This window comes from Homo sapiens, chromosome 1 (assembly GCF_000001405.40).
Source record: "Homo sapiens chromosome 1, GRCh38.p14 Primary Assembly".
NCBI classification, from domain to species: Eukaryota; Metazoa; Chordata; class Mammalia; order Primates; family Hominidae; genus Homo; species Homo sapiens.
The window spans coordinates 74,237,988-74,263,772 of NC_000001.11; the positions used below are offsets into that span (position 1 = coordinate 74,237,988).

A 25,785-nucleotide genomic window follows, 5' to 3' on the forward strand; every position below is an offset into this window, starting at 1 on the left:
CTGCCTGACTCCATAGATAGCGCTCTTCCTACCATACCCTGCTTACAAAAACAAGATTTAGGTCCTGATTTATTCATTGATTTTTGGAATCATTGTAGATAAAAAGCATAGTTAAGTAAAGGTGTGTAGGCAAGAATGAATGAGTACCATAGAAAGTTTAGGAAAAGTGAGAAAAAATAATGTCTTCACCATATTATCTGACTTGAGTAAGAAAGCTATGTGAATCAATGTAAGAATTTTGGAGTCATACAAACATGGTTTTAAATACAGCTTCTTCTATTTATAAGCTGTATATCCATGGATATGTTTTTTAATCTCCTTAATCCTCATTTTCATCTATAAAATGAGGTGAATAATAATCACCTCACAGGATATTTTCAAAATGAGGTAAATTAAATACTAAGTACAGGGCCCAACCCATAGTAAGCATTGAGTAGTTGGAAATTTCTATTATCATGATTGATTGGATAAATAAGGACAGTTTGAAGGATAGAAGACTTATCATAAAGTGAGAGTAACAAATAGCTTATTAAAAGTTAGAAAGAGTGAAAGTTTTTATGAAGAGGATGATTTCAAAATTAAAAATGTAAAGTATTAGCACAATTTAGGAAGATGCCGAAATCTGAAATATAGCTTTTAATGATTTTGATTGAAAGGGATTTGAAGAATTTTGAGACTAGAGTATTAGAAGGCTAATCAAAATGGCTATCAAATTTACTGAGGATAATGGTGAGACATTTTTGGAGAGAAAGACCAATAGCCTGATGCTGATGACATTAAAGAAGCTACAGAATGTGATGATAAGGAAGCTGAGGAGAGGATTATCCAGTCTAGAATGATGTTTCTGCAAGAACTAGGGGCCTCTTATGTTAATGGAGATGGAGACTGTAGTACTTGCTAAAATTTTCGATTCCATGACTCCACCCTTTATCATGTGAATCAGAATCTCTGGAGATGTCTTCCAATAACCTGAATGTTTAACAAGCTCCCCAGATAAAACTATGCATAATAAAAATGATACTTCTAAAGTTTGAAAACTATACTTCTAGAAAGATATCCAAATTGCACTGAGAACTCTTTGCCTGAGGTGATATTAGTGAAGGGATGAGGAATATGGGAACAGAAAGTAAGCAACTGGTGTGGTCTAAAGAGAGTCAAGAGAATCAAAAACAAGCAAGCAAAAACAGAATAATCTGCTTTTGTCTGATTTCGTCAAGGTAGAGAGCATAATCTGGGAGAAAAAAGTGAATTGCTTCCAGGGCAGAGTTCTAAGGATTTTCTTTTCTTTGGAATAAAATGATGGATGAAAGAAAGAAAAGAATAGTGTGCTGAGAATGTAAATTGTCTTACTCACTCATTCACAAAATTTTAAAGGTAGTTGGGAAGATCAAACCTAACACTGTATGAAATGACATTTAAATGAGTATCTAGAGCATTATAGGTGCTAAATAAATGTTAGAATCTCATTACTCACCCTTATTCATTTGTCTTATAAAGAGCATTCCTGTGATAAACAATTATGTTATGTTGCCTGACATCAGCCTTTCTCTAAACATTTAGATAGCAAGGAGACTGTATACAATGCCCAAAAAGGAACATTTAAACTAGCATGAAACGTAAAGGATCACTGATGTAAACAGTTTTTCATTTGCTAACCAATTTCTTTATGGCATTCCCGGTAGATGCTAATTTCATTCATTATAAGAGATTTTTCACCACATAATACACCATTGCTCTATCAGCTCGAATACACAATCTTCCTGGCATAGCTTTTACCCACAACATAATAAACAGCAATATAGTGCTAAATGTAAGACAGAAAGAGCTAAATAGTTATCCTGCTTATGCCAATTTATAGCAGCTTTGGAATGGGAGCTTGATGTGGGAGAGAGGGGAAATGGAAATGGAATGTTCTTTCATCTTCTGCTATAAAGTTGCATTCACTCATAACTTTGGACATTTGTTTAGGTAATGGATTGGTGACAGGAAGAAATGAAGAAAAAGAGAAGGCAGGAGGAGAAAGAAAGACAGAAAGGGCACCTTAGAGTACCATTGTCTGATTATATCCTCCTCTGTGCTGCCTCTAATCTTTATCAACATAACAGCACTTACTACATGGTGTTGTTTTTATCCATTTATAGGTCTATCTCCCCACTAGTATATGTGTTCATTAAAGGCAGCTTTTTTTCTTATTTAGCCTTATTTATATTTGTACTTATTTGTAAAACAAACTAATAACTTAGGGCTTACCATATGCCAGAAATGCTTCTACGTATCTTTTTGTGCATCAGCTTATATAATCCTAATGGTGTATATGTAAAGTGCTTTAGCACAGTGTCTGGCACATGGCAAACCCTCAAAAATGTTAGTTAACACTTAATCATTATTGTTTATGTTAACAACCCTCTGAAGTAAGTGTTGCAATTGCCATGTTATACCTGGAGAAAATGAGGCTAATCAAATTAAACTGGCTTGAACTAGATTAAACAATTTGTATGATTTACCTAGGATTGCATCCATCTTTATTTGATTTCAAAATGTATCATATTCATAATCTTGGTTATGAATATTATACAACCTTTTTGAAAAAACTATGGAAGTGATGGCTCTCCACATGTGACTTCAAATGTTTTCAATTAAATTATTTTGTTTCAATAGTTTTTATCATAATAAATTTTAAGACTATGTTTTGCTAATTTCATTGTCAAGCCAAATTTGTATCTGCTTAATCTATAATATGAAATTTAAAACCATGAGAATACTCCAGAAAAGTTATAATTTTTCTTTTTCTTTTTCTTTTTTTTTTTATTATACTTTAAGTTTTAGGGTACATGTGCACAACATGCAGGTTAGTTACATATGTATACATGTGCCATGTTGGTGTGCTGCACCCATTAACTCGTCATTTAACATTAGGTATATCTCCTAATGCTATCCCTCCCCCTCCCCACACCCCACAACAGGCCCCCGTGTGTGATGTTCCCCTTCCTGTGTCCATGTACTCAATTCCCACCTGTGAGTGAGGACATGCGGTGTTTGGTTTTTTGTCCTTGCAATAGTTTGCTGAGAATGATGGTTTCCAGCTTCAACCATGTCCCTACAAAGGACATGAAGTCATCATTTTTTATGGCTGCATAGTATTCCATGGTGTATATGTGCCACATTTTCTTAATCCAGTCTATCATTGTTGGACATTTGGGTTGGTGCTTAGTTCCAAGTCTTTGCTATTGTGAATAGTGCTGCAATAAACATACATGTGCATGTGACTTTATAGCAGCATGTTTTATAATCCTTTGGGTATATACCCAGTAATGGGATGGCTGAGTCAAATGGTATTTCTAGTTCTAGATCCCTGAGGAATCATCACACTGACTTCCACAATGGTTGAACTAGTTTACAGTCCCACCAATGGTGTAAAAGTGTTCCTATTTCTTCACATCCTCTCCAGCACCTGTTGTTTCCTGACTTTTTAATGACTGCCATTCTAACTGGTGTGAGATGGTATCTCATTGTGGTTTTGATTTGCATTTCTCTGATGGCCAGTGATGATGAGCATTTTTTCATGTGTCTTTTGGCTGCATAAATGTCTTCTTTTGAGAAGTATCTGTTCATATCCTTTGCCCACTTGTTGATGGGGTTGTTTTTTTCTTGTAAATTTGTTTGAGTTCATTGTAGATTCTAGATATTAGCCCTTTGTCAGATGAGTAGATTGCAAAAATTTTCTCCCATTCTGTAGGTTGCCTGTTCACTCTGATGGTAGTTTGTTTTGCTGTGCAGAAGCTCTTTAGTTTAATTAGATCCCATTTGTCAATTTTGGCTTTTGTTGCCATTGCTTTTGGTGTTTTAGACATGAAGTTCTTTTCCTTTTTTTTTTTTTTTTCAGACGGAGTCTCGCTCTGTCGCCCAGGCTGGAGTGCAGTGGCGCGATCTAGGCTCACTGCAAGCTCCGCCTCCTGGATTCACGCCATTCTCCTGCCTCAGCCTCCCAAGTAGCTGGGACTACAGGCACCCACCACCACACCTGGCTAATTTTTTGTATTTTTAGTAGAGACGGGGTTTCACTGTGTTAGCCAGGATGGTCTCGATCTCCTGACCTCGTGATCTGCCCACCTTGGCCTCCCAAAGTGCTGGGATTACAAGCATGAGCCACCGCGCCTGACCCAGAAAAGTTGTAATTTTTAAACACTATGACATCAACATAATCCAAAACAACTTTTTTGGCATTGAGTAGATACATCTTGGTCAGTAATTACAGTGCCTCACTTTAAAATTGACTAGGTTTAATTATGTACAAAAAAGTGGTCAAAAGAATGCTCTGTTCCATTAAATAGTCACAATGTATAGAGGAAATAAAAAAATGTTTTCTGAGATACACCTTTTTGTACCTTTTCTCTCTGAAAAGTTCATCTGAGGCCTGTTGCATTCCACTATACTCATCCTTAAAACAAAATATCTTCTAAAATTATTGCACTATAGCCAACTATGAAATTTGGCTATTATAAGATGAATAGCACTGGAAACTTTTCAAGCTGATCTTATTTAAGAGGAGTAGACCCTTTCTGTCAAACTACTAAGTAGGATATTGAAGGGGAAATGTCATCTTATAATTAACATAGAATGAAAATATTATTTGGCATGTTTGGTAGTGTGTTTTGCCAATTAGCCACAAAACAAAAAATAAGAATCGTCAACAACAAAAAAAACCCTCAAATCCAAAAGGAAACAAAGAATTCATAATGCCCTAAGTCAGTCTATTTCTCTAATTCTTTTCTTGTTTGTCCAGGTAAAACTAGTTAAGAACCATAATTTTACAGGAATATCTTGTGAAATCATTGAGAAGCAACTTGACCTCAATCTCTCTCTGCCTCTCTCTCTCTATCTCTCCCTATTGTTCTCCCTCTCCTTCTCCATCTGTAGCTCGCTATCTTTCTATCATTTTCTCTCCCCCTTACCCTTCATCTCTTCTTCTTTTCCATCCTGTACCTCCATGATTCCTTCTTTCCTATCCCTGTTTTGAAGAGCAAAACAATACAAAAACAGTAAAAATAATATCAATGCCTTAATAGAAATAACTATTATAGCAGCTAATATTTATAAAAGCTTTACAAGCTCTAACTTATTTACACTTCACAACAATCTTATAAGATAACAATAATTATGCCAATTTTATCATATCTGTCACTCTAACTATAATTGTTTATTGTATGAATGGCTGAATAAATGAATATACTTCACAGTATTAGTTTGCAGATTTTATTTGCAAGATATCAAACAAATATATTTCTGGATATTTCTTGGAGATATATATTAGAAACAGATCTTATTGATATAGTCTGCTTCTATTGTTTGGAGGGCATGGGGCAGGGAAGAATCTGCAATGAATAGGCAAGAAGTTGCAACTAGCCATTTGAAACTTAAATGATCAATTTGGGAAACTAGACAACCCATAAAAAATCCTTACCTTCTTTCTACATTCTTGGCTTTTCCCTAAGTTTTAACCAATGAATTAGCTTTAAAATATATCTACCTGTCTGAATACCTTGGAGAGCAGTGTGTTACTTTTTGGCCAACTGTTCAAATGTTACATTTTAATAAGTTCCCACTTGTGGTCATGTTAGATATCTTCTTGAAAGGATGAGGTCATGAAAAAGAAGTTTAATTGGATCACAAAACTGCACACTTTTCTAGGTCAAAGGTAAAGGCTAGGAAAAGAATTCATTATGCTACAAGAAAGAAAGTAACCTTTGGGTACAGAACTATCATTTTTAATGATTAAGAACAGCATTTACTATTAGAAATATATTCATAATAGTGGCTTTATTTTAATTAGGAACTTCATTCATGCCCCAGCATGCACTATGAACTCTTTAGGATATGTTAAGTTACAGTGTGGCATGGCAGGTGATGAAAAATGTAAGGGGAAATTAAAAAATAAATTGAGCTTAGGGTATTAGAATACATAAGTGATGCTCAATTGGCAGTGAATTTGACATACACAGTTACTTTAGAAGAGGCAAAAGAAGAGAAAATGGAATTTCTCTCCTAGGAATGATTGCTTAAATATCTTGAATATTTTAATTACATGTTTCAAAACAGAAACGTTTGACTAGAAGTTAATGGGAAGTGAGAATTAGGATTCAAATATAGCCCCCAAAGTAACTCTCATTTTAAAAATGTACATTCCAGTTATTAAAGTTGAGCTAAAAATTGTACTATTAAAAATCACACTTGACTGCCAAATATTATAGGAGTCTATTCTCTGTTGATTCATTTTGTTGACATTAAGAGAAGCTGCATGAGTTCAAGGAGGATATAATTCAAGAGGAGAACAAAAGCAACAAGCAGCGGCTCAGTTTAAAGCAAGGAACTCTTTAGGACTCTATACTGAGTCACTTATAGATGGTAAAGTCTAGTTCAAGATTCAGTTAGCTGAGGAACAATTGTTGAATAAAGAGTCATTAATTTTGCTTTCAATTTTATTTATGTAAATGATAAACATTCATCTAGTGCCTTTCTTTTTTAAAAATAAAGCAATGGACCCTGGCATCTTGTATTTTCTGTTTATTCCATGTTCATTTGTTTTGCAAAGCTGATCAGAGTATTAGATATCAGGACGAACACAGCAGTCAATTTCAGGATTTTATCTAGTATGTGTATTTCCAGGACTGATGCATTCAAAGGATCCGGGATTTAGTGAGTAGTTTATATCAAGGAGACTCTTGAAAACAACCTGAAGTGAGCCTTAAGAGCAGAAGTGAGGCGTATAGTAGGTGTTTAGCAGGTGTTGTGCCAGACTTATTGAATGGATCATCAAATTTAGATCACAGAATAAGAAAGCAATTGAGTTTACCCTCTCAAATAAAGTGATTTTCATCTCAACTTTAACTTTTTACCCTCCTTTGCATTTTTCATTCTTTGAGTCTCTCCACTGTTGAAAATGTAGTAATATTAAAAGTTCGAGAGATCAAGTTTAAATAAGAGAATCTCATGTGCAGTTCTGTGTTCTATGTATAATTTAAACTTTTCAGAGCACCATGATGAATAAAAATTATGTATACATAGAAAACAGACATCTGAAAGTAAACTCATTTCACTCACACACAAAATCTCACATAATATCTACGGAGAAATTCAGGAAAATCCTTCCAAAAAGAAAGGTGGGGGGAAGTAGCATCTGATAAGATATTGGAAAAAAGAATATAATCCCAATGTATTACAACTTCTGCCTGAAGCAAAGTTCTCTTGTACTCTGACTGGGTCAGATTTCACAGATAAAGGTCTAAACTCTGGTAGGGTACTCTGATATAGTCCCTGGTGAGAAGTGGAGTGATTCTATTAATGAAATCCTTGTCTTTGTCTGAACAAAGACCATTGCCCCAGGAGGGCCCTTGAGAGCCACAGGTAGCCTTTCAAAAGGAATGTAAAGCTAAAATTCTCGACCTCTTGAGGTCCACGGTGCTCCCAGGACATTTTTCAGTAGAAATGAGATCATATCCTTGGCTTCACAGGTCAATTTCAAGCTGCCTCCTGCCTATTTAAATCTCTAGCAGCTTTAGAGAGATAGCATAGTATTTGGTGAGTGAGCCAAAGTTTCATATCACTTGTAAAGTACTTACACTTGAAAGGTACTATAAATTCAGAACATTATCATCAAGGCATCCAGTTAAGAACATCAAAAGCTATTGGAATTTTAAAATAGAAAAAGAAAAAGTGCTATTCTCCAGGGTACTGCTAAAAAGAGAAAGGCTCTAAATCCAGGGTCATTGAAGAACCTCAGTGAAATGCTTTAATTAGAAATGGCAAGCCTTGTGGTTTATTTTCACAGCCATGGGAATGCAGTATTCCCAAACTTTTTTTACCCTCCTACCCTTCTTGCTTTCTGTGTTCCCCTGCAGCAAAACACATAGACATGCTTACTAATACTGGGAAACACACCTCAACTTGCTTTGGAAAGCCTTTTGTGGAAGTACAATAAACTCCAGTGTTTATAAATGTTAATAATATAAGAAGGGGGTTCAGAATTTCATGAAGATAGTTAAGAATTTAACTCACTTCTATCAGCAATTTCCCTCAGCTCAAAAAATACTGCAATCAAAATCATTTCTGATGAAAATGCCACTGTTTTAAATGTCTACTTATAATAAAATGAGCCTACTTATAAATGATAGAGCTATTTATGGTATGGCAGTAACTTCACAAAATAACATGATTCTTAGAAATGTGTGGTCTTTGGCCCAGCCTGGCTTTTAAACCCTCAAAGCCAAATATATTATGGATGTCTTGGAAGAAAGTAAACTAGGTACTTGGAACACACTTGGAAATGCAATCACAGGTCACAGAGGTCTTCTTTGTGGTTATGACTTCAAATAGTAGAGGTATTCAGCGGAGCTGAACTCTGCCTTTCAAGCTAGGTAGATTGGATTTTTCTCTTAAAGTTTGTAGGGAATCAGTGTCCATAAATAAAAAGGGAATGAAAACTGTGACTGGAAACTGAGAATGTTGATGGACAATGATTCAGCTCTGAGCTGCTTCGGCTTTTCTTCCCTGGTCTTTCTATTGTCCAGCAAATGAAACACACTATAAAACCACAAGAAAAAAAAACAAAGTATTGGACTGGGGGAGGAGAGAGAGGCCTTGTGATCCTAAGAAAAACTATGTAACCAGCAGCCTAAGCAAAACAGGGAAGGATGCACATTCTTCTGAGCTAATCATAATGAACTTAATGGCAAATACTGAAAGAAGAAAAAGCTTTGGAGCTCTTCTGTAGCAATAAACACCTGAGAAAATGCAGTTTTTCAATATGTATGTCCAATATTGTATAGCAATACCTGTTATGTTTTGCTGTTTTCAAAGTGGAAAAAATCATTTCATCAGTGTGGTAATCCTTGAAAGCCTCATTCTTATAGTTATACCAGGATTCAAATCCTATCATGACTCTGCCTTTTAAGTAGTTTGTTCTTTTTTTCCAACTTGGGCAAGTTATTTAACCTATTTAAGCTTCAATTTCTTCAATTATAAAATGAGTAAAATAATATATGTGACAATATGCATGACTTTGTCCTGTTGTGTCCGGAATTGGTGGGTTCTTGGTCTCACTGACTTCAAGAATGAAGCCGCGGACCCTCGCAGTGAGTGTTCAGTTCTTAAAGATGGTGTGTCCGGGGTTTGTTCCTTCTGATGTTTGGACGTGTTCCGAGTTTCTTCCTTCTGGTGGGTTTGTGGTCTGCTGGCTTCAGGAGTGAAGCCGCCGACCTTCGCAGTGAGTGTTACAGCTCTTACCGCGGCGCATCTGGAGTTGTTTGTTCCTCCCGTCCGGAGTTGTTCATTCCTCCCAGTGGGTTTGTGATCTTGCTGGCTTCAGGAGTGAAGCTGCAGGCCTTCATGGTGAGTGTTACAGCTTATAAAGGCAGTGCGGACCCAAAGAGTGAGAAGCAGCAAGATTTATTGCAAAAAGCGAAAGAACAAAGCTCCCACGGTATGAAAGGGGACACAAGCAAGTTGCCGATGGTGGCTGGGGCAGCCTGCTTTTATTCCCTTATTTGGCCCCACCCACATCCTGCTGATTGGTCCGTTTTACAGAGAGCTGATTGGTCCGTTTTGACAGGGTACTGATTGGTGCATTTACAATCCCTGAGCTAGACACAGAGTGCTGATTGGTGCATTTACAATCCTCTAGCTAGACATAAAAGTTCTCCAAGTCCCCACCAGATTAGCTAGATACAGAGTGCTGATTGGTGCATCCACAAACCCCAAGACAGACACAGAGTGCTGATTGGTGCATTTACAATCCTCCAGCTAGACATAAAAGTTCTCCAAGTCCCCACCCAACTCAGGAGCCCAGCTGACTTTGCCTAGTAGATCCCACGCAGGGGCCGCAGGCGGAGCCGCCTGCCAGTCCCACGCTGCGTGCCTGCACTCCTCAGCCCTTGGGTGGTGGATGGGACTGGGCACCGTGGAGCAGGGGGTGGTGCCCGTCGGGGTGGCTCAGGTTGCCTGGGAGCCCACGGGGGTAGGGGGGTGGAGGGGCCTTGGGCATGGCGGGCTGCAGGTCCTGAGCCCTGCCCCATGGGGAGGCAGCTGAGGCCTGGCAAGAATTCAAGTGCAGCGCAGGTGGGCTGGCAGTGCTGGGGGACCCGGTGCACCCTCTGCAGCTTCTGGCCCAGGTGCTAAGCCTCTCACTGCCCAGGGCTGGTGGCACCAGCCTGCGGCGCAGAGTGTAGGACCCACTAAGCCCACGCCCACCCAGAACTCACGCTGGCCTGCGAGCACTGTGCACAGCCCCAGTTCCTGCCCACTCCACTCCCTCCACACCTCCCCACAAGCAGAGGGAGCCGGCTCTGGCCTCGGCCAGTCCAGAGAGGGGCTCCCACAGTGCAGTGTCAGGCTGAAGGGCTCCTCAAGTGCAGCCAGAGTTGGCACCGTGGCCTGAGGAGGTGCCGAGAGCGAGCGAGGGCTGCTAGCACGTTGTCACCTCTCACTGTGGTGAGGAATAAGTAAGATTAAGCGCTTACTACAGTATCTGGCATGTGATATGCAATCAAAAAATGATTATTGCACTGTTGTTACCATTGCCAACTTCACTGTGAATATACAACTTTCTTTTTGAAGTATAACTCTTGGGATAATTTTAGCATCATTTTTGTTGAGGCTTAGAAAATTACACCTCAAAATGAAGGCCTTACAAGCAGCCTTAGAAGCCAAACTTTCTCTCTGACCTTCTCCTGTCCTCTTGTCTCTGGCCCCTCATTTTCCCCAGAGGGTAGCCATAGAGACTAGAATCCCTCTCCCCTCAAGGCAGGTCATAGAAACTAGAACTTACAGAGTTATTCCTGTATCTTTGAGTCTTCATTCTGAAGGCTCTTATGTCTTGTATCTCTTGTGCCTTTTAAAACTATGATCAAATATATTTTATGCCTTTTCTTCTATTAATGTCCCTTTTGTCAGTTGATTTCAGCAAACCTTCAGAGAGGCAAAGGGGAAGGTCTTTCTTGGCCCCTATAATTTCATGCCATATTTGACTTTTCTTGGCCTTTTATATTTGACAACAATTTTCTGATTTCTGATTTCCTGATTTACATAATAATCAATTTTATATATGTATTATGTAAGTATTCCCTACTAACAGTGACTCTCAGGTTCCTAGATGATGTCTGACCTTGGTTTTACTTGTCTTTAAAAAGTGCCACTAAATTCGCTATTGTGACATCTAGTAGCTGTCAGTGATTCTGGAGCAACTATTGGAATCATAGTGTTATTTCTGGTGACATCATTACAATGTAAAACTACAGAATTTCCTCTCAATTTTAATTCTTCATATAGAGGGTTCAAGATTCTTTCTGTAAGTGCAAAATAATCTTAGAAAAAATACATTTCTGAATTGATAGTAACAGGATTTGCATTTATAATTTTCAAATGAAAGACAATATGCTAAAAGATGAATTTTGTGATCATCTGTAACATGTTTTTTTCAGCTCTGATGAAGCCTTCAGTAAAGTCAATTTAAATTACCGCACTGAAAATGGGCTGTCTCTACTTCATTTATGTTGCATTTGTGGAGGTGAGTACTTGAAACTTAGTACTTCTTAAACTGGTTATATGTGTATATCGTCAGTGACTTGAGCTGCTTAATAGTCTGCAAAAGAATTCTATTCATACTCAATTTTCCCTTCTGCTTTGCCTTTTCCAACCTTGATAATCTCAGTTTAGGCAGTAACTATCAGGCAGAATATTCCAATTGATTTAGCTTTAAATATAAGCTTCATTGTGTTGCTACCGGAAACCAAGTCCCTCAGTTTGCTTGGAAATCAAAAAGCACTTTTCAATATTGGGCATGCCAGTCAGGGATTAACTTAAATTCAGAAGCACTTAAAGATTCCCCAAAATATCATCAAGCAGTTGCTTCACAATATTCAACAAGAGTATGTGGAAAAGTGATAAATGCCAAAGATAAGATCTAAAAGTGAAGATTGATCGAAGTGAAGATTAAGAGTTTAATTTGGCCTACACTTTAGTTTGTTTTGTTTATCAATGTATCTCAAGTAATTTGAATGGTGCCTGGCCTGTAATAGCCACTCAGTAAAGTTATTGAATTAATGAATGAACCATTAATATTTATTTTGTTAATCCAAACTAAATTCATTGAGCTTAACTTCTTAAAATGGAACAGAAATGTGTAAGTGTCAACTCTAACCATATTCCTTAACCATTTCTCCCAAACAAACCAAACAGACTCTGCTTAACAGATTGTTCTCTCAACTTCAAACGTGCCTTCCCAACCTTGGTTATATCCTTCATATTTCTTTGATCTAAATAAGCTCTACTGTTAATAATGTTCAGATAAATCCTCTACAATTAGATTTTTTAATTTAAGCTTTTTCACTAATAGTTTATTATGGTGAATTCTCTTATGTGTTTATGTTTCAAAACCATCTGATGATGAGGGTACTAAATAAAAAATCTAAGACAGAGTCAAAATACACAGCATTTGAATAAAGTTTTATAAATGGAAAAGAAATATCCCCTAGTAAGTAAGGTTGTCAATTAATAGAAAACTTTACAAATGGCCTGCAGAACGCAGCTTGACATTTTTATACAGCTGTATGGCATTTATCATTAGGTCAAAAAGAGTCTCAAACTCACCCCATCCCCACAATGATTTAGCCTTTTTTCATTTTTCTCTTTAAGGCAAGAAATCACATATTCGAACTCTTATGTTGAAAGGGCTCCGCCCATCTCGACTGACAAGAAATGGATTTACAGCCTTGCATTTAGCAGTTTACAAGGTAGGACACTTTAATTCCCATAAACACTGCATTGGAACTAAGGATAGTGTGTATCTTTAGGCTTTTTTTTTTTTTTTTCAAATTAGTAATCATGGAAAATTTTCAGTGACCAGAGGCGTTACATTACTAAAGGACTTCTTTCTCTTTATTGAGCAGATACCTGCTGCATACTAGACACATACTCTTTTTAATGCTTTCTGTATTTAACTCATTTAATTCTCACAAGAACCCCATGAGTGAATATGATTATTATCCCCAAGGTTACATGGTTAGCCAGGGGTTAGCCAGGATTTAAGACAAGGCAGTCTAGTTCTGTTGCCAAAGCTCCTCATCAGAACACCATGATGCCTCTGTGCAGAGAGAGATGAGGTTGTATTTAAAGACAAAAGAAGCACACTGAAGCTGTATTTCTTTACTGCAAATTTTTCTTAAAAAACCTTTTTGCTTTAGCTGTTTATTTTCTTATATTAGCCCCTGGCTCCAACCTAATCTCAGCACCTGATAGAATAATAAATATAATAGTGGATTGGACAAACTGGGATACTTAGTGTTGGAATTGAACCTTGAGATTTTCATAAATATAAATTTATAAAACATACAAATTATATTATGCATTGATCATTTTATAATTATAATAACAATTTCTACTTTGTATTTATTATGAGCTAAATATCATACTAAGTTTAATGTATTTTAGTCATTAAAATAACTGCATATTAGGATTTACTTTACAGAAAATGCAATTAAAGACTAAAGTAGATACCTGGACAATATTAGAATAGTGATTAAAGTCAAGTACAGTTGGCTCATTACTCCCAGAATCTTATTTGTATATTGCGTATTTTGTTCTTTCTCATTTTCAAGCGAGTCTGTGACAGAATTTTATTTCAGTTTTGTGTGTGCACGTGTGGGAGGAGGGACAACTTTTTGCTTGTATTAGGAACCCCCTGCACTATCTCCCTCCCCCAACTGCTAGAGAGTTTGTCATTGGGAGGGAAGAGGACCTTATTTTCCCATGATCTAGCATCACAAATTCCTGTAATTCATAGCGCAAATACTCTAAAGTTTCATCTCTTTTCATGCCCAGTCAATGCCTAGTCAATTCTTCTAATTCCTTCTGGGAGAAAGCCTCAGTTAAGTGCTAAATTGTCTTTAGTACCTGTTAATTATCCTGCTAAACTATGAAACATTCTGAGTTTCCAGTGTAGAAAACAGCATCTGATGTTGACTTTTCTTCTGAAAGGCAGGAGGTGAAAGTAGAAGAGCTCCAAGGAACAGGAAGGTAGTGAATGATAGTCATGGCACTGTATGAAACCATGAATTCTGAACCTCACCGTCTGGGAGATTTTTTCTGTATTAGTTCATTTTGCAAAGATTTAGCATGACATTGGCACACAAATGGGTTCTGAATCATTTAGTCCTACAATATTTAGAGAATATATTTCTTCAACCTCTGTTTATAATAATTAAATTTCCACTTTTAGAGTTTTCTTTGCTCTATTTTTATGTTTTTTTCTATTTTAGAGAAGGGTGCATAAACTATAACTTTTTCATAGCAAGTTTAAATGAAAATTTAGATTCTTGGGAAACAAAGCAGGCAAAAATATTAAAAGGCCATAAGAAAATGCATAGTTATTTTGCAAATTTCTTAACAAAAGTGAAAAACAAATTAAAGTTACTATTTCATTTTAAACACAAAAATAATATAAAGTAGTTGTGTGTCCAGAATTGGTGGATTCTTGGTCTCACTCACTTCAAGAATGAAGCCAGGGACCCTCGCGGTGAGTATTACAGTTCTTAAAGGCGGCATGTCCAGAGTTTGTTCCTTCTGATGTTTGGATGTGTTTGGAGTTTCTTCTTTCTGGTGGGTTCGTGGTCTCGCTGGCTATGGAGTGAAGCTGCAGACCCTCGCAGTGAGTGTTACAGCTCTTAAGGCGGCACGTCTGGAGTTGTTCATTCCTCCCCGTGGGTTCGTGGTCTCGCTGGCTTCAGGAGTGAAGCTGCAGACCTTCGCGGTGAGTGTTACAGCTCATAAAGGCAGTGTGGACCCAAAGAGTGAGCAGTAGCAAGATTTATTGCAAAGAGCTGAACAACAAAGCTTCCAAAGTGTGGAGGGGCACCCGAGTGGGTTGCCACTGCTTGTTCAGGCAGCCTGCTTTTATTCTCTTATCTGGCCCCCACCCACATCCTGCTGACTGGTCCATTTTACAGAGAGCTGATTGGTCCGTTTTACAGAGAGCTGATTGGTCCATTTTGACAAGGTGCTGATTGGTGCATTTACAATCCCTGAGCTAGACACAAAAGTTCTCCACATCCCCACTAGATTAGCTAGATACAGAGTGCCAATTGGTGCATCCACAAACCCTGAGCTAGACACAGGGTGCTGATGGTGTGTTTACAAACGTTGAGCTAGATACAGAGTGCTGATTGGCATATTTACAATCCCTCAGCTAGACACAAAGTTTCTCCAAGTCCCCACTAGACTCAGGAGCCCAGCTGGCTTCACCCAGTGGATCCCGCACAGGGGCCGCAGGTGGAGCTGCCTGCCAGTCCCACGCCATGTGCCTGCACTCCTCAGCCCTTGGGCAGTCAATGGGATGGGGCACTGTGGAGCAGGGGGCAGCACGCTTTGGGTAAGCTCGGCCATGCAAGAGCCCATGGCAGGGGGTCGGGGGGAAGCTCAGGCATGGCGGGCTGCAGGTCCTGAGCCCTGCCGCACGGGGAGGCAGCTATGGCCTGCTGAGAAATGGAGCACAGCGCCAGTGGGCCGGCACTGCTGGGGGACCCGGAGCACCCTCCGCAGCTGCTGGCCCGGGTGCTAATCCCCTCACTGCCCGGAGCCGGCAGGACTGGCCGGCCGCTCGGAGTGCGGGCCCGCCAAGCCCACGCCCACGCCCACCCAGAACTCTAGCTGGGCCGCAAGCCCCGCCGTGCGGCCCCAGTTCCTGCCCGTGCCTCTCCCTCCACACCTCCCCGCAGGCCGAGGGAGCCAGCTCCAGCCTCGGCCATCCCAGGAAGGGGCTCCCACAGTGCAGCAGCGGGCTGAAGGGCTCCTCAAGTGCAGCCAGAGTGGGCGCCAAGGCCGAGAAGGCACCAAGAGCGAGCGAGGGCTGCAAGAGCTGCCAGCACGCTGTCACCTCTTAGTTGTTCACACTACCAGGCATTAAACCTAGTAACCATTAAATGCATTAAACCTACTTCTAATTATCCCTTGACAGAACTACTCCAGTAAGTATATAATTCATTTTGGGCTCCAGTTCCCTTCCCCCATATAGTATTAATAACTGTTTAATTTTAATATTATTTCAAACTTACAAAGACAATTGCAAGAATAGTACAAGAAACTGCTTATCCAGGTTCATTAACTGTTTGCATTTTGTCCCATTTCCATTATTTTTTTTTAGAACCATTTGACAGTAAATTGTATAAAACATGCCCTGTTGCCACTTCAGTCTTCATTTCCTAAGAACAAGAAAATTCACTTACATAACTCCAATGCAATTATAAAATTAAAAAGAACATTGAGATGATATTAACATTGATAAGATATGATAATCTATAGTTCAAATTCAAGTTTTATCAATTGTCCCAATTGTGTCATTTATAGATTATATTTTCTTGTCCAGGATAGGATTCAATCCACAATCATGCATTTTCAGTTTTCTTATTTCTGTAATCTCCCTTACTCTGAAAGAATTTCTCACCCGATCCTTGTATTTTTTTATCTTAATATTTTTCATGCATACCAGTTATTTATACATATTTCTTTGAATTTTTTTGGTATTGCAATCGAATTTTATTTTGTTCATAACACTCACAAAATGAATAATGTAACTCTCCCATCCTTTTGTTCACTACATCAAATAGCTCTTTCAATTATACACCCTGGCATGCTGGGCCTGACTCATTGTTAGAGGAAAGGGGTCCCGATCCAGGCCTCAGGAGAGGGTTCTTGGATCTCGCGCAAGAAAGAATTCAGGGCGAGTCCACAGTGCAAAGTAAAAGCAAGTTTATTATGAAAGTAAAGTGGTGAAAGGACAGCTACTCCATAGACAGGGTAGGATGTTCCTGAAAGTAAGAGGAGGAGCACATCCACCCTAGGTACAATGCTCATATACATGGGGAGATGTGTTCTGCTGCAAGGGTTTGTGATAACATATTAATTTTCTTAATTGCTATATTTTGCAAGAATCGATATTATTATCTTTAAAGCAAAATTAGGAATGCCTTTGTTCTACAGATATCAGGATATCTGGACACTCCCAAGTCTGGGTCTGTTCAGTAAACATTATGAACTTGTTCTTTAACTGTAAACATCTAGAGGTTAAAAATGCCTAACTTTTGGGAGGCCGAGGCGGGCGGATCACGAGGTCAGGAGATCGAGACCATCCCGGCTAAAATGGTGAAACCCCGTCTCTACTAAAAATACAAAAAATTAGCCGGGCGTAGTGGCGGGCGCCTGTAGTCCCAGCTACTTGGGAGGCTGAGGCGGGAGAATGGCGTGAACCCGGGAGGCGGAGCTTGCAGTGAGCCGAGATCCCGCCACTGCACTCCAGCCTGGGCGACAGAGCGAGACTCCGTCTCAAAAAAAAAAAAAAAAAAAATGCCTAACTTTCTGAGAATGTAACCCCGTAAGTCTCAGCCTCATTTTCCTATTTTCCTAGCCCTCACTCAAAATGGAGTTGTTCACTCTGGTTCGAACGCCTCTGACATCATGACTGTATATTTTCTAATCAATAGAGTAATCTCTGCTTTCATTAATAAAAGTGAAGCAGATATTTAGCTATTTAATACCACATGAATGATTAATCCTCATACATCTTTTTGTTTTAGTTTGTTGAGTTTTTCACAGTGTTTAGTTTTATTGAGGTTTAATATATACCAAATACAATTATCAATTTTAAGTCTACAATTGTTAGCTTTTGAAAATGTATGTAATCATGTAACCATCATCACAGTCATGTTATAGGACATTTCTACTATACCAAAAAGTTCCCTCATGCCATTTTGCAGTCAGTCTCCTTCTCACCTGGTCTCTGGAAACAAGTGTTTTCTGTCACTATAGTTTTCTCTTTTCTAGAATTTTAAATAAATTTATTACATCCAGTATGTTTTCTTTTCTATATGGTTTCTTGCACTTATCATAAGGCTATTGGGATTCACCCATGTTGTATATTCTGTAATTAATGCTTTTCTTGTAGAATTGTATTCCCTTATATGGATATACCACAATTTACCATTTACCTGCTGATGGACATTTTCCCAGATTTTGACCATTATAAACAAAGCTGTTCTGAACACTCACATACAGGTATTTGTTTGAACATATGTTTTTATTTCTCCTGGGAAATACCTAAAAGTGGAATTGCTGAGTCACATAATAAGTATATGCTTAATTTTATGAGAAACTAACAAACTTTTTAACAAACTAGCAATTCCTTCCTACATTCCCATCAGCAAGGTATGAGAGCTGTAGTTTTTTCACATCCTTTCCGGCACTTGGTGTGGTCAGTCTTTTTTTTTTTTTTTTTTTTTTTTTTTTTTTTTGGCTATTCTATTGGATGAATTTTAGTATTTCATTATAATTTTAATTTGCATTTCCCTGAAGACTAAAGAGGTTGAATAGGTTTTTATGTGCTTATTAGGCATCCTTTATTTTTTAATGTAGTGTCTGTTAAATCTTTTTGCCATTTGTAATTTTGTTTATTATTTTCTTGAATTGTGAGGGAACTTTATCTATTCTAATACAATTCTTTTCTTGAATATACTTTTGCAAAAATTTCTCTCAGTGTCTGACTTGCCTTTTCATTTTCATAACAGTGTCATTTGAAGAGTAAAAGGTTTTTGCATTATTTTTAAACTTATGACTGTAGTGATTACCATACAGTTATAGATTCTCAACATTTCATAGTCCACTCCCTGCAAATGTTGATCTACTTCACTTAAAATATAAGAACCTTCCAGTAGTATAGTTTCATTTTATCTTCATTCTTTGTGCCATTGTTGCCATATACATTGCATCTATACATGATAAGAACCTAAATATATTATTAGAATTTTTGTGTTAAACATTTATATCTTTTAAAGAAATTAATAAGAGAGAAAATATGCTTTTCGGAAGTTTGATTATAATAATCCTACATATGGTTTTCTGTATTTAAAACTCTTTGAGATTCACTGAGTTTTTATATCTGTAAATTTATGGTTTCATCAAATTCAGAAATTTTGACCATTAGTTTTTCAAATACATATGTTAGATTGTTTGATAATTTTCCACATATCACTGAGTCTGCTTTTTTTCTTCCTTCTTCTTTCTTTCTGTTCTCCAAATTAGATTATTTCTACTTATTTGAATTCAAGTTCACAAACCACTTCTCTGCCATCTCCCATCTGATAACAATCCACCAGTGAATTATTCATTTTGGTTGTTTACTTTTCCGTTCTAGGATTTTTATTTATTAAGATTAATTAAGATATAATTTCAATTTCTCTGCTATGATGACACATCTGTTATTTCATTTTTCCATATTTTCCTTCAAGGTTTTGAACCTATTATTTGTGACTACTTTAAATGTCCAATCTGCTGTTTTCAACATCTAGATTAGCTCAGTATTTGTTTCTATTTCATGTTGACTACAGGGCACATTTTTCTGTTTCTTCATATATCAATTAATTTTTTATTGAAAGCTAGAAATTATGTATTATGTGTTATAGGAAATCTTTATCATGTCATCTTCCTTTAAAGAATGTTGAGTTTTTTTTATGTTTGTTTTTCTTTCATTTTTGGCGGGTAGTTACACTTCTGGTGGATACATTTCAATCAAATCAGTCTTGATTTGATTTTTTGTTAGGCTGAAGGTATTTCAGTTTGAACTTAGCCTCTTGGCTTACCTCTTTTTTTTTTTTTTTTTTTTTTTGAGGCGGAGTCTCGCTCTGTCACCCAGGCTGGAGTGCAGTGGTGCGATCTTGGCTCACTGCAAGCTCCGCCTCCCGGTTCAAGCCATTCTTCTGCCTCAGCCTCCGGAGTAGCTGGGGCTACAGGCGCCCGCCACCACGCCCGGCTAATTTTTTGTATTTTTAGTAGAGACGGGGTTTCACCATGTTAGCCAGGATGGTCTCGATCTCCTGACCTTGTGATCCGCCCACCTCGTCCTCCTAAAGTGCTGGGATTACAGGCGTGAGCCACCGTGCCCGGCCGCCTCTCGGCATACCTCTTATTCCTAGCATGTGGCTCTCACACCTGAACATGGTGCTTACTCCTAAAGTATGATTTTTTGGCATGTCACCTGAATTCCCAAGTCTCTCAGTAAAGTCTCTTCATACCAGCTGACAGGAGTTCCAAAATCCCCCCGTACTACATGACCTCCAGTATCACCACCATTCACCTTTTAGCAATAAATCAGGTGATCTTTTCTAGATCTTCCAGAATCTTTCTCTGTGCTTGTGCAGCCCAGCTCAACAATACATAATGGATCTCCATGCAGATTTCTGCAGTGCCCTCTCTGTGCAGCTTCTTCTTCTCGGTTACCCTGCTCCACAAATACAGCCCCTTCATAATATCAGAACTCTCATTTACACTCTTAACTCAGTGAGACTTCCTATTATGCTTTGTGGCAGAAAAGTATTTCAGGCAGAAAACCATGGCAATCATGGGATATTGTGTGACTTGCTTTATATCTTTCTCTTAAAGGACACAGCTGTTTGCTCATGCTCTTCAGTGCTTGAGAACAGTTATGTCATATATTTTGTTCCATTTTGTAGATTTTATTTGCCAGTAGAGAAAGTCTATATAAGTTGTTCTGTCATGCCCATATCTACTTTTGCATTGCTTCCAAAATGATCAGAATGAAACAAAAATCTATGATATCATTGCTCACTTTAACACTTACTATTGTCATCCATTGCCTATATAATGACATTCAAACTCCTAAATATGAGACTCAAGATCCCTTAATTTATAACTTTTCTGGAATCACTTTCCATACTCTTTTCCTGTAGTCTCTGCCTGTTCAACCCTAATGGTTTTCAATGTAATGTGCATGAGGATCATATAGTAACATACGTTTAAAATGAATATTTCCCTTTCTACTTTACTCTCATTTAAATTGGTACATCTAGGGTATTCTAGGAATCTAAATTTTTAACAAACAACCTAGGAATTTTGATGTAAACAATCTAGGTCTACATATTGTGGATTACTGTTCAAGCGTGGCAACTCAAATTATGGTCACATGATCAGTAGCATCCACCCCAACTAAAAGATTTCAGAAATGCTGCTCTCATTTCCTTTCCAGCCCTATTCAACCAGTACTATTCAGGCGTTTCTAGAGAAATTTAACCAATAGGATTAATGGATCTATCTATCTATCTATCTATCTAATCTAGAGACATATTTATTATAGGAACTGGCTCACACTATTATGGAGCCCAAAAGTCCCACGATCTTCCGTCTATAAGCTGGAGAATCAGGAAAGCTGATAGTATGATTTGGTCCATGTCCAAAGACTTGAGAACCAGGGGAGCCTATGGTGTAAATCCTATTCTGAGTCTAAAGGCCCAAGAACGAGGATCAGTGATGTCTGAGGGCAGAATATGGATGTCTCAGCTGAAATAAAAACAAATTCACCTTCCCTCTACCTTTTAGTTCTATTCAGGCCTTCCAAAGATTAGATGATGCCCACCCATATTGGTGAGGGTGATCTTCTTTTTCAGTCTACTAATGAAAATGCTGGCAGGGCATAGTGGCTCATGCCTGTAATCCCATCACTTTGGGAGGCTGAGGCAGGTGGATCACTTGAGCTCCGGAGTTTGAAACTAACAGGGTGAAACCTTGTCTCTACTAAAAATACAAAAATTAGCCATATGTGGTGGTGTGCGCCTATAGTCCCAGCTACTTGGGAGGCTAAGGTGGGAGAATCACTTGAAGTCAGGAGGTGGAGATTGCATTGAGCTAAGATTGTGCCACTGTACTCCAGCTGGGCAATAGAGCAAGACCCTGTCTCAAAAACAAACAAACAAACAAACAAAAAACTAATGCCTTCTGGAAATACCCTCACAGACACCCAGAAATAATGTTTTACTAGCTAACTAGGCATCCCTTAACCCAGTCAAGTTGGCACCTAAAATTAAGCATCACAACCAGAATGTACATTTTTAAAAAAATCTCAGCTGATGTATTTGTAGATTAAAGTTTGAAGATTGCCATTTTAGATAACTCCATTTTTTAGGCCAAACAGTTCCACATGTCTTTATTTTTGTTTTTATAATTTCTTCTGCTTAAATATTTTTTAATTTCTTTTCCTGATGCAAAATTATTACTTATTTAAAACCAAGATAAACTGAGTTTTATTGAACTCGCAGACAGAAATTATTGCACTCTCTTTTGGGTTTCAGTTATTAAGTTTACATTATCTTTTATTGTAGCACTTATAATTATTTATTTATTTGCATATTTCAAATGTTGGTCTGTGAACTTTGGACACTGGGACTAAGTCTTTTTCTTTGATTCCTCAGTATATGTGACCTGTAAAGGATCCTTGAGAAATACTTGTTTGGAAATTAGTGAGTGTCCAAACATTAGAACAATACTTGACATTTGTTGATATTATGTAGCTTAAGAAAGACTGTCAGCTTAGAAGCTAGAATACTTCTGTTCATATCTCAGTTATGAGACTTGCTAATTATGCATATTTAGGCAAATTGAGTTTTCCTTATGCTCCTCAATTTTCTAACCTCTAAAATGAAGCAGATAGAATTATCTATTTTATTGTGTAGTTTAGAGTTTTAAGGAAACAAATCATATGCAGTACTTAGCAAAATACCTAGCATATAGTTAATACTTAATAAAAATTAACCATTATTGTTGTTGAACTCTAACTTTGACAAACATTTATTGGAAACTAACATGTTTTTCATTTTGCATAGAAAAATTAAAAGAAATGGATTGGATTTTCTGGATTATTACATTCTAAAGAGATGAGAAAAGGTAATCCTAACAATATAAAAGAAATGGCATCTATACTTAGATCAATGGACTACAAACATCTTTTATCACGTCCTCTATAAAATTAGCACTCCCAAACACATATATGTGTTCATAAATTATATACATTAACAAAAAAACCCATCAGTTAATAGCTTAAGACAAAATCTACTCTTTGGAAAACAACCAGTGTTAAAGTTTGTAGCTATACATTTATATTTCAAATAGCCTTTTTGATAATATAAAATATTTTGACAAGTTTATTACAAATATGATTAGATTAGGAAATTGATTTATATGAAGCTCAGATTGGTAGAAAAAAGTACCAGCTTTTTCTTTGCTGCTTCTTACCTTAGTAATATATATGTTGTGTATTTTCTTCACAGGACTCTTTTAAAGATACCTGCCAATTTCGTCTATTCAGTTGAAGTGTCTATTCAGTTAAAATTTGATATTAAAATTTATAATCCCACTTACTTTGGCTCACATAAGCTACAGCACATCCCCAATAACTAAAAGCTAAGAAAAAAAAAAGAGTGAGAGGCAGCTCTCAGTCCTTTCCCATGTAGAATTTTAAGTATATATTATACTTTGGGTACTATATGTGACATATGACTAGCTGATATATGAACTGAAGCCGCCAGTGTAAATTTACATGTTAAACATGAATGAAACTTCATTTATCTTTATATATAAATGTATATAAGCAGATTTTCTAATTCTTTTTGTACCCTAATGAATTTTATTACAAGATTCCTGTCACATTTATATCCCTCTATAGGGCATACTTCTTTAGGTGGTATCTAAATTGTATTCCTAAAATGAAACACAAGACTTTGGGGAAAAAATTGAGACCTCTGATATAGTTTAGAAGATCTTAATTGAGAAAGCTAATGAACAAAATCCTATTAGACCATCTAATTTAGCCTTACATGTAACTCTCATTCAATACACAGACAAGCCACTTAGTGAAATTTCTTTAGTGAGAAAGAAGTAGCATTTTGATTCATTAACTTATTTTTAACATTTCGTATGATAAAAGCAGATATTGAATGGTAATGGTCATTTATCCCATCCTATATATTTCTTGCAAGATTTAATTCCTATCATTCAGAAACAACTCATTTTATATATGTATTACAAAAGGGAAGGACATGAATGGGGGAAAAATCGAATTAAACCTATGTTGCCTGGCTTACCAGACCTAGGTATTTTTTGCTACGTAACTGTGCCCATCAGAAAACTCTGACTTTTCTATCAGTGGCGATTCGTAGCCTGAATCATTGTATTAATATCTTTTATCCTGACTTTTTTTTTCCTCCTTAGCACATATATTTGATTGCAAAGTTGAAATTTTCAACTATCCTGAAACTAAAGACCCAAAGTAAGTGTTTCATAGTTTCTAACTGCTGTCGATTTAGACCAAGGTTCAACAGCCTTGGCACTACTGACAATTTGGATTGGATAATTCTTTGCTGTGGGAGGCTGTCCTTTGTGTTATAAAAATGTTTAGCAGCATCCCTGTCCTCTGTTCTCTAGATGAGAGCAGCCACTTCCCTCATGCCCAGTTGTGAGTACCAATAATATCTCCAGATATCACCCCTGAGAGGCAAAAATCACTCCCAGTTGAGAACAACTGATTTAGAGGACAGATTTCAATATTCATTAACTTAAATGGATTTTTTAAATCTTAATTACCTTTATATTTGAACAAATAAAGTTTCCTGATTAAAGACTGCATTTTCCCTAAATGGGAATTTGACAAGATAGTAATAAGAAATAATTTGAAGAAAAAAAAAACTCAAAAAAAAAAGAATCCCACTTTTTGCATATTTAACTAAATTCTCCAGTTAGTGATGACTTTTAAACACTTTAATAGTAGATTTTCACTTAAGAAACTAGAGAAAATTTTTACTCATAAATTACAGCAATCATTAAGATAGCTTGTTTATATGCAGATTTCCCTTTAGTAATGAAATATTTCATAATCTCTTTCTAAATGAACACATTCTCAATAAAAAGTTAATAGGATCCTAGCTGAAGATGGTAATTTGCAATTTATGCTTCAATTCTTACACCAGACAGTAGTATTTCCTGGAAAACCTTCCCTGATCCCTCCCAAGTTTGGGTTAGGTATTGCTTCATTGTACTCTCTTAGCTCCTAGTACTTACTATGCTGTGTATGCTACTGTATATTATTACTTAGTTAAATCTTTATATCTTCCTCTATATTAGCGGTCACAATCTCACATATTTTAAGGATGACATAAATAAATGAAAGACAGACAATGATAAATGGGAAGTAAAACTCAAGACTGAATATTTTTGAGATATGAGAGAGTGGCAAAGACTGTGGTAACTTAGAAAACATATGCCCCATGTAAAGGGAATGGTCACTCTTCAGCTTCAGCTAATCATTGTCATGTAAAAATGTAGACCCATTATTTCCCAAAATTTCAGAGAATCATAAATTATGTGAAGTTTCCTAATATTTAAATGCTGGCCATTAATGCAGATTTTTAGTCATAAATACTCAACAGGCTAAGCCATATATATTTCCATTCCTCTTGTAGCCTGTTTGTAATCTCTGATAGTAATTATGAGCATCATCAAGGCAGAGACCAGATCCAAGTTGCTTATCATCTTATTCTGAGTGCTTAGAACAACGCTTGATATATATACTTAATAAATTGATGTTTTATAAGTGAAGAATGAAGTTATAGTTCTCTGGTAACTGGGGGGAAGAAAAGTGTTTCAAAGGAGGTAGGATGAGGTTGACAGTGGGCAAAATGGTCCTATTTGGGCCATTAGAATAGGAAATTAGGAAATTGTCAGATACCTCTTTAAGGGATATTTTAGTAAATTTTGGGGAGAAGAGGATATAAAAATGGGTTGAAAATAAATACAGTTAGGGAAATGGAGGCAATAAACATTAATTTCTCTTCCAAAAAGTATAAGATTGGGCAATATTTGAGGAATGGCCAGATCAGGAAGGTTTCTGAAACAGCATTGTCCTATCTT

General features: G+C 37.2%; 2 protein-coding genes across 3 annotated transcripts in view, besides 1 other annotated feature; both read left to right on the top strand.

Moving 5' to 3' along the window:
* Positions 1-25,785, top strand: part of FPGT-TNNI3K (FPGT-TNNI3K readthrough) — a 346,187-nt gene that overhangs the window by 39,746 nt on the left and 280,656 nt on the right. For both annotated transcript variants that reach the window (NM_001112808.3, NM_001199327.2), the window contains exons 5-6: positions 11,472-11,557; positions 12,685-12,782. In NM_001112808.3, the coding sequence (NP_001106279.3) occupies positions 11,472-11,557; positions 12,685-12,782 (184 nt within the window). The remainder of the gene's footprint in view (positions 1-11,471; positions 11,558-12,684; positions 12,783-25,785) is intronic.
* TNNI3K (TNNI3 interacting kinase) overlaps positions 1-25,785 on the top strand; it is a 309,042-nt gene that overhangs the window by 2,601 nt on the left and 280,656 nt on the right. The window contains exons 3-4 of the mRNA NM_015978.3: positions 11,472-11,557; positions 12,685-12,782. Of these exons, the coding sequence (NP_057062.1) occupies positions 11,472-11,557; positions 12,685-12,782 (184 nt within the window). The remainder of the gene's footprint in view (positions 1-11,471; positions 11,558-12,684; positions 12,783-25,785) is intronic.
* Positions 7,227-7,878: an enhancer, noted in NCBI's record as "OCT4-NANOG hESC enhancer chr1:74710898-74711549 (GRCh37/hg19 assembly coordinates)". NCBI's record gives its function as "activates a minimal SCP1, AML or CMV promoter by ChIP-STARR-seq in naive H9 embryonic stem cells {active_cell/tissue: H9 hESC(naive)}" and the evidence as "EXISTENCE:reporter gene assay evidence [ECO:0000049][PMID:30033119]".